Raw genomic sequence first — 9,769 nt, forward strand, 5'->3', positions numbered from 1 at the left:
TGTCACTAAAAAGCATTGCCAAACATCCCCAACTTTGCTGCATTCACTGTGGAAGAAAGAAGCCTCTTTAGAAAGGGAATACAAGAAATTCCATTCTAAAAACAAGGTTTGAAACTCAGCTATCTATTCCTGGTCTCAAATGTGCTACATCCCAGCTCTATTCAGCCATGAATCCCCAGTGTCTAGGCCAGCACTAGTAGACATAAAATAAATGTTTAAGAATAAATGAGTGAACTACTTGTAGGCAAAATGCATCTAACTATGTGAAAGCAAACAATAGTTACACAATTATAAAACAACTAACAAAAGCCTGGAATGTTTTTATTTCCAGTTGCCCTTACAGTTGCCCACTCTGGCTTTTCCTTTATATGCTAACTGTTCCAGTCCTTAATTTCTCCTTCTGGAAAATGGGGCAAACCTATTGTATCAGAGATGCTCATGACGAAAACAAGCAAACAATGACAACAACAACAAAACCAAGTAGGCTCTGTTACCTACTAAAACATACCCAGAAACCTGGAAAGGCTTTTCAGTAGACAGAAAGCACAACTGCAGATGTGACTGGATACCAAAATACTAAATCCTAAAAGAGTTTTTTTTAAGTTTCTATTTTATTTATATGTATATATTATGCCTTTGTATACTATAAAAGTATATATCATATATAGTCAAGTATATATGTATCATATAATACATAATATATATTTAGTTAAGTATACATAGTTAAATGTAACTATATATCATATGTATTTATATACATATAAATTGCTTTCTACATAATCCCTAAATATGAGGTCCCACAAGAGTGTATCCAATGTCTTTGGAGATTAGAATTCCAGCAGCTCCACTCCGTGGATGTACTACGCAGTTTCTTCATCTCATATCTTGCCATTTCCTCATGGCTTTGTCAAGAAGTGACTCCTGCTCTTAGAACTCACAGATGTCTACCATTTATCCACTTTGGAAAAAATCTCTCCCTTCCTCTCTTACTACCCTACAAAGAATACCCCTCTCAATCCTCCTTCTTAGAGATATGCGGCATCATTTCTTCAAAGAGCTTTGGCATCTAGAAAAATAAGAAAAGCCTTTGGTTTCAAGCAGTTTCTGCTTTCTGTTCACTCACTTTAAGCTTTTCCTGAGGTAAGAAACTACAAGGTATTGATACCTGCCCGAAAAGATAGGAAGGAAAAATGTGGAGAGAAAAAAAGAAATATTTCAATAGCAGTCACAACTTTTCTGCTTTTACTATCTCTAAAACAACACCCTAGCCCATGTTCACCAAAATCATTCATTCATTCATTCAACAAGCATAGATTAGGACCTTCCTGCGTACTCAACGCTTGGAAGTATTCCGTGTGCATAAGGCCAACATGGTTCCTGCTCTCCAAGAGTTTACTATCTAGTGACAGACAGAGACCAGACGACAGGTAAATGAAGACAGGGTAAAAGCGCTGAGATAGGGAACTCAGAGCCAAAGAGGGGACAGCAAAGCCCAGTCATAAGGCCTGGGGCCAAAGAAGGTTTCCCAAGTAAGTGACATCTAAGAAAAGCATGCAGGAAGAGTGAGGATCAACCAGGAAAATGAAGGTAGGAAGAGAGAGAGATGAAGTGAAGGAAGGAAGATTTCAGGCTTTGAAAAATAGCCTGTGCACACATTCAGAAAGTGAAAAAAAAAAAGCAGCCAAAGATCTAGAAGACAGTCCAATCAGTCCAATATGTCTGGAGAAAAGAAACCTGAATATGTGGCTGATAAGCAGGTGTCAAATCCAGAAAGGTCTTCAGCCTGTTAAAGAGTTTAGGCTTCCTACTAAGGGCAATGTGTGCTTTAAGGGGTTTTAAGCAAGAGAAAAATGGCACCTTAGCTGTGGTGTAGAGAACGTAGAATCAGGGAGTCTGGTGTAAAATCAGTTGCAGTTGTCTAGGTGAGAGATGATGGAGCATAAACTAGATTAGTGGCAGTAGAGACATCAAGAAGGAGAGGTATTTGAGAGACATAGAAGAGAGCCAACAAATCTAGAAGCAAATCTGGGTGTTTGCATTGAGAGGAGAGGGGTCAAGATTAATCCATCCACTTAATAAAAATGTCCTGAGGCTGGGCGCAGTGGCTCACACCTATAATCCCAGCACTTTGGGAGGCCAAGGTGGGCAGATCATCTGAGGTCAGGAGTTTGAGGCCAGCCTGGTCAACATGGTGAATCCCCGTCTCTACTAAAAATACCAAAAAAATCAGCTGGGCGTGGTGGCAGGCACCTGTTACCCCACCTACTTGGGAGGCTGAGGCAGGAGAATTGCTTGAACACAGGAGGCAGAAGTTGCAGTGAGCCAAGACTGCACCACTGCACTCCAGCCTGGGCGACAGAGGGAGACTCTGTCTCAAAAAAAAAAAAAAACAAAAAACAAAAAACAAACAATGTCCTGAGTCCCTTCTATATACAAGCACTATTCTAAATGCCAAGAACACAAGGATGACCAGGAGAGTCACACTTTCTAAGGTGAAAATATCCAGAGAATCACAAACTAAACCTGTAGCCACCAAAACAAAATTATAATTAAAATCATGTCAAGAGCTATGAAGAAAAACTAAAGAATATGGTAAGAGAGCATAATGGGGAACTTGTTTAGATTAGAAGGTTAAGGAAGACTTCTCTGAAGATGTAACCTTAAAGCTAATTCCTGAAGTGTTGAGCCAAGAGACAAATAGAAAGAAGAGTGCCCAAGGCAGAAGAAATAATGTGAAGAGAAGCAGCAGTATTTATTAAGGAGATATTCAAAAGGAGTATCCATAAGCCTGGTGACAAATGGAGTGTGTGGACCAAGGGAGAAGGATGCCTAAGGGATCATTCCCAGATCTCAGACATGAACAACTAAGGGGCAGCCCCAGATAATAACGAGCTCTTTCACCACAATCTCTTTCTTCATAACAAACTGCCAAGCATCAGGCATCAAACATTTTTTCTGCGTGAGACGTGATGACACAACTCATTGTCTTCAGACAGGCTGGCCAGACTCAAAGTTAGAAAAAAATGGGTGTAAAATATTTGTTTCAGCCAGGCGCAGTGGTTCATGCCTGTAATCCCAGCACTTTGGGAGGCCGAGGTGGGTGAATCACTTGAGGTCAGGAGTTTGAGATCAGCCTGATCAACATGGCGAAACCCCATGTCTACTAAAAAAAAAAAAATACAAAAATTAGCCAGGCGTAGTGCTGCACACCTGTAATCCCAGCTATTCAGGAGGCTGAGGCAGGAGAATCACATGAACCCGAGAGGCAGAGGTTGCAGTGAACTGAGATTGTGCCACTGCACTCCAGCCTGGGTGACAGAGCAAGATTCCATCTCAAAAAATAAATAAATAAATGAATAAATAAAGAATCTTTTTGTTTTCATACAGAGAATCCATTCCTCATCTTTGCAGCTTTTCTCCTGAGTATGGCCATGTCACCTTCTTGAGTCTCTACAAAGACCAAGGCCTTCAACTGAACTGTAAGCACTGCTCTGCTAAGCCCCATTTGAGAATGATTCTGATTAATTGGTAATGGTCAATAAGGTACTAGCCCTTTCAGATGACTGATTTACATTTCAAAGGGAATATTTCATGCCTTAACCTACTACTGATTTTCACACATTTTAAACAGTAAAATTCTTTTATGAAACTTACAAATTTATTCTTACAAAGAAGCTCAGCCAAGAGACAAATGAAAAGGGAGCAGTTCTGGAGGAAGCTGGGGCAGAGGGTCCCGAGCCTCACCCATCGTTCTCCTCACCTCCTCGCCTCTCCCAAGTTATCCCTGTAGCATTTAGAGCTTTTGCCCCAATTCAAGGTTAAGTTGGGGGAAAATAGCAGAAATCTGGGATCAAGTAAGAAACAGGTCTTCTCAAATCATAATATTAAAGCTAGCAAAGAATAAAAGGAAAGTAAACCCAACAATTCTTATGATCCTTTTCTTTCTATAAAAATTATATCTTAAATATCCATTATAGTACGTGCAAAATGACAAACAGAACAGGCAAATCATCGGTCAGGGGCTTGGCAAGAAACAGATGGGATTCACAGTTTGGGTCATTTAAGGAAAGTTGAGTAAATGCATACACCCATGTGAGAGGCACAGGAATAACAGTGAATCCCATTAAAGCAGGCTGCAGTGATCATCTCTGGGCTATGAGGAGAGGCCCACTCAGGACCAGGTTCCCTAAGTCAGGGAGCAGCCAGCCTGGGTACCTCCTTAGGAAAAAGGCTGAGGAAAATGCTGTTACCTTACTCAGATTTAAGTGTGACCTATACCCAAAAGCCAGAAAACAAAGGAACCCATTGAGACATACCCTCAGAGCTGAGCGAAAAAGGGTAGAAACTAAATCTGGAGCAAGACACACGAAAAATGCAGCAGAGGCAATTAACATGACTTGTAGGTGCATGAATATTTTAATGTAATTTGAATACTTGGATTACAGTAAAACATAATATCACAGCATCCGACATTATATAAAATAGAAATTCATATAGTGTTAAGTTCAGGAAAATGAGGTAAGCTCATAAATGCTAAAAATAATACCTGTGACATCATGGGGCAATTATTTGGGTTTTTAAATATTTCTCCCTTGGGCATGTAGGAAAATTTGTTTGACCTTTAGTTAAAGACCATCTCAGGCAGAGAATTGATTGCATCTGCCCTCCAAGGTGATCATAAAGACAGTTTCACAGCACAATTGCTACAGAGAAGCTTTTTCCTCAGGTTTTTCTTCGAGTGATTTGGTAAAAATACTTAGGTGACAGAATCATGGCCAAATGCCTCCCAAACCTGCCCTCCAAATTTTGAGGGAGTTAGTACTTAAGCTGCTTTGTGAGTATCTTTATTTCGCCACTGTGCTTGGGGACCAGCACCCACATACATGTTTGATTGGCATGCTGACCAAACACAGGATGAATGCAATTAAAGTATGCCTTATTTTTTCTTTTCTAAAGTTTCTTTGGATAGGCTGCAGGTAACTTGGGGTAACTTGTATATTTTCCACCAGTAACACTCTGACCGAGGCTCCCTTCTCCTGGTGTCTGTCCACTGCACTAACAGGCTTTCACTGGAGTCCCCTGCCTGACAGTCCTCCCTGCCAGGACCTGCTAAGGCTTCATGAAGTTTGCTCTCCTCCCAGAAGGGGCCAAGATGGAGTCTTGAGGGAACACTCCCATGGCAAAAGGGAGTTAACTCTAGGTCTCTGCTCTCCTTTCTCTCTCCCCACCCCACCCTGCCCACGCCTCCCTTTCTCCTCTGCTCTCACTCTCTTCCCACCTGCTCCTCCCACTACAGGCCATGCTGTTTTAGCTTTCACAAAGTGAAATCAGGCACCAGACCTCATGTCCCCAGCTCCAGGAAACTGGGCTTTTCAAGAGGCCCCTCTCAGCTCTCCACCTGCAGTACAGGAAAGCAGCCAGACTCTCCAGTGGGGTCCATGCAGGAAGGCATCTCTGTCTTTTGTGAATTTCTGAGCCATCTCACCAGTTCTCAGTCACTGACATTGAAATTTCCTCTTGGAGTTTGGCATCTCACTTTTAAATTTCACATCTATTCTATTTCAGTGTCTTGGACAAGATTTAAAAGTTAACATTCTATTATACATTCATATGTACATTCACATATACATCCATACTCGATTTCATACTTTATACATTTACAGCTTTGAGATTTTGATGGTTCAACTCTGGGACTTCACTAACTACTAAAAAACCTGATTGCTGTCTGATGGAAGCTTTCATATAGTAAATAGGAGCAAGTCTAAAACTTAACTACCTATTTATCTATCATTTCGTATGGAAGGAATTTAAAGATGGCTGTAAATATGCAATAACATAGTTTAATGGAAGACATTAGGAAAAGCATTAGCTGATTTTATATAATCCCTTGAGTTGGGTTGCATTTTATTTAATGACTTGAATGTGAATAATTAAATAGGTGGTTATTCTGTACTACTGATTCTTCTGCATATATAAAAATCACATGGGGGCCATTAAAATTAAGATTCCTTGGAATCTCTCCAAGCGTCTCCATTTTATTAAGGTGATTCTGATGCATAGGTTAAAAAAATACATTTGAGAAATTTCTATATATCCTGATGATATGCAGACCCTAATAATACACCTATAGGTATATTCAGGCATGACACAGGGACATCTACTTTCATATACCTAAAAGATGCCTTTTACGAGCCTCAGTCAGCATCCTGACCAGCTAATCAAGAAGATTATTTAAAGCTGAAATCATAAAAACAACGGAAACAATCCACATCTCTCTTTAACTTCAATGGGGATAACATTTACTTATTCACCAGTCTTTATGGGGCTATCTTTTACTTTAGTATGCTTCTTCTGATTATTCTAATAGACCATTCTTTCCCAAGCGACACTCCTAATGTATTCCCTGCAATTCCCAGTTTGAGTTTCTTTAAAGTGGAGTCAGAACCTAAATACAAAATGAATGCAAATCCTTTCTTTTTTTTTTTTTTAATTTTTTGTTTTTGAGACCCAGTCTTACTCTGTTGCCCAGGCTGGAGGGCTGTGGCACAATCTCAGCTCACTGCAACCTCTGCCTGCTGGGTTCAGTGATTCTCCTGCCTCAGCCTCCCAAGTAGGTGGGATTACAGGCATGCACTGCCATGCCTGGCTAATTTTTGTATTTTTAGTAGAGACGGGGTTTCACCATGTTGACCAGGCTGGTCTCAAACTCCTGACCTCAAGTGATCCACCTGCCTTGGCCTCTCAGAGTGCTGGGATTACAGGTGTGAGCCACCGTGCCTGGCCCATTTCTTGACTTCTATTATTTCCTTCTAGTATTTTATAGCTATATAAAATATATAAACTTATAGTACACACCTAGATTTATAGCAATACATTTTAGTTACTCACCTCAAGCATCTTCAAAACACTCAACTTAGTTTCCATAAAAATAAAATCCAAAATCCCTATTTCCTTATTGAATTCATAGGGCATTGGTTGAGGTAGGTTCAATTAGGTTAAATGATAGCAATAACAAGAGTAACTGGTACACACAGGTTTGGGTAAGAAAAACCACTGACTCTTGGTAAGAATATGACTCACCTGTGGGGAGCAGCAGTGCAGGGTTGCACTAGAGTAGGAGTTGGCAAATGTTTTCTTTAAGAGCCATATCATAAATCCTTTATTCTGTCAACCACTCAACTCTGCCTTGTGATATAAAAGCAGCCATAGGCTCTAAGTAAACGAATGGGTGTGGCTGCGTTCCAATAAACCATTTTGTTATAAAAAATAAGCAGCTAGTCCATAAATATGAGTTGGACAACACTTGGACTAGATCAATGGATTTCATGCATTAATTAGTGTGCATCAAAACTAGCCAGCATTTCTAATTTGGTTGGTATAGGGTGAGGCCTGAGAACTTGCATTTCTAACAAATCCCCAAGTGATGCTGATTCTGCGGGTGCTGGGCCAGGGATCTCTCTTTGAGAACCACCAGACTTGTATTTAACTGATTGGCTGTAGATGCCCAGTGTGCTGTGAGCAATGGTTAGTATATTTAATGAAGGTGTTTTATCCCAGGCTCCCTTGAAAACTAAGCCCTAAGAAAAACTTATTAGCTAATGCTTTGAGAGGCAGAGGAACCCCAGGAAACAAGAATAAGGGAAAAGGAGAAGTGATGGGGGAAATGAGTGAGAGCAAAAACATGAAGGTATGTTTCTAAATAGGCCACAACTTCACAACAAACATAGCTGGTTGCCTGATCTCACAGGTTGTCTCCATAGAGCCTATTAAACTACTATTTTTTAAAATAGTCTTTGATGGGGAAGAAGGACGAGAAGTAGATCTGCTGGCTTCTTCCCTCCTTATTGGTTGAAACTCACCAGCATGTCCAGTTGTGTTTTCTCTCCCTGCCACGCAGTTGCAGAGGTAGTTAGAGCTTCCCTGTGTCCTCTCCATCCACTCTGCAGGGATGGTAGACGCCTTTGTAACATTACTTTAGCTTGTACACTCAAACCCATGTGTCTTGTCACTCCTCAAATGTGGCTATTCTCAAAATGTTATCTGCACTTCTTTTTTATTTTTTCAGAGATACCATTCATTCTCATGACTTCCAGTGACATCACTCTGTGATTTATTCAAACGACTATCTCCAGCCCTAATAACTTACCTGAGTATACTACCAGAGCAAGCCTTGGCATCTTGTCATGCCCACTTCAGTTCTAGGGGAAACCACTCTTGATGCTTAGGAGGTTATATTTTATATCACATGATGCTGACACCTCTAGTGACAACTCATCAGACCTGACCCAAAGAAATCAAGCTGTTTTTGGATCATCATGGCAGATGGGAGGCAGGACTAGATTGCAGCTCCAACTCAAATGGACAGAGCAGTGTACAGAGGCTCCCATAGTGAATTTTAGCTCCAGAATGACTGCAAGAACAAACCAGGAATCCCAAGAGGGCCCACAGACCCTCTGAAGGAAAAGGACTGCTCCTGTAGGACCTGGGAGACACCCCAAATACTGAGTGCCCAAACTACAGAAGTGGGAAAGAGAGATCCTCTGCTCTAAAACACACACCCCTACTGGGGAAACTGAAGGTCTAGTATGCAGAAGTTTTCGACCTTGCCTGAAGCTGAGTCAATTTAGAGAGCAGAGTTAAATATAGGGGTAGAGGAAGCAGCGGGAAAGGCCCTGGGAGCTCACTGGGTCCCCAAGCAGGCCACTCCTGCTGACACCACAGGGATCCTTCGAAAGGGTGCCCAGAGGCATGGGGAAATTGCCACAGAGAGAAGGAGGTCTCCAGCTGAACTTTGTAACAGTTTGAACTGGGTGAGAAGCCTCCCAGCCAGAACTCTGAGGAGGGCACGAATCCTGCATGCAGACTCCAAGGGAGGGACAGGAACCAAAGCCCTTTTATTTTGCAGCTGGGAGGTGGGTAGCCTGGGGCAGGTTCTCAAGGCCTGCTCACTCACTGCCTGGAAAAAGACTTGGGGCTAATGGGGGGCATGGTTTGAGTGAGACCACCCCTTTGGATTGTGTGGGAGCTGGATGAGGCCTGTAACTGCTGGCTTTCTCCCACTTCCCTGACAACCTGCATGACTCAGCAGAGGCAGCCATAACCCTCCTAGGTACACAACTCCATTGACCTGGGAACCTCTCCCCCATCCCCCACAGTAGCTTCAGCAAGACCCACCCAAGGAGAGTCTGAGCTCAGACATGCCGAACCCTGCCCCAACCTGATGGGTCTTCCCTACCAACCCTGGTAGCTGAAGACAAAGGGCACATAATCTTGGAAGTTCTAGGGCCCTGCCCACCACCAGTTTCTCTCCATACTACCACAGCTGATGCTGTCTGGAAAGTGCCACCTCCTGGAAGGAGGCCAAGCAGAACAAAAATAGAACATTAAACTAGCAAAGCTAAGAACACTCAAAGAGTCCATTTCACCCCCGGCCACATCCCCCAGAACAGGTGCTGGTATCCACGGCTGAGAGACCCATAGATGGTTCACATCACAAGACGCTGTGCAGACAACCCCCAGTACCAGCCCAGAACCAGTTAGACTTGCTGGGTGGCTACACCCAGAAGAGAGATAACAATCACTGCAGCTTGGCTCACAGGAAGCCACATCCATAGGAAAAGGGAGAGGGTACTACATCAAGGGAGCACCACATGGTACAAAAGAATCTGAAGAACAGCCTTCAGCCCTAGACCTTCCCTCTGACAGAGCCTACCCCAATGAGAAGGAACCAGAAGACCAACTCTGGTAATATGACAAAACAAGGCTCTTT

At 42.3% G+C, this 9,769-nt stretch overlaps 1 annotated feature.

The window, feature by feature from the left end:
• Positions 8,955-9,454: an enhancer, noted in NCBI's record as "H3K27ac hESC enhancer chr18:58931179-58931678 (GRCh37/hg19 assembly coordinates)". NCBI's record gives its function as "activates a minimal SCP1, AML or CMV promoter by ChIP-STARR-seq in naive H9 embryonic stem cells {active_cell/tissue: H9 hESC(naive)}" and the evidence as "EXISTENCE:reporter gene assay evidence [ECO:0000049][PMID:30033119]".

This window comes from Homo sapiens, chromosome 18 (assembly GCF_000001405.40).
Source record: "Homo sapiens chromosome 18, GRCh38.p14 Primary Assembly".
NCBI lineage: Eukaryota > Metazoa > Chordata > Mammalia > Primates > Hominidae > Homo > Homo sapiens.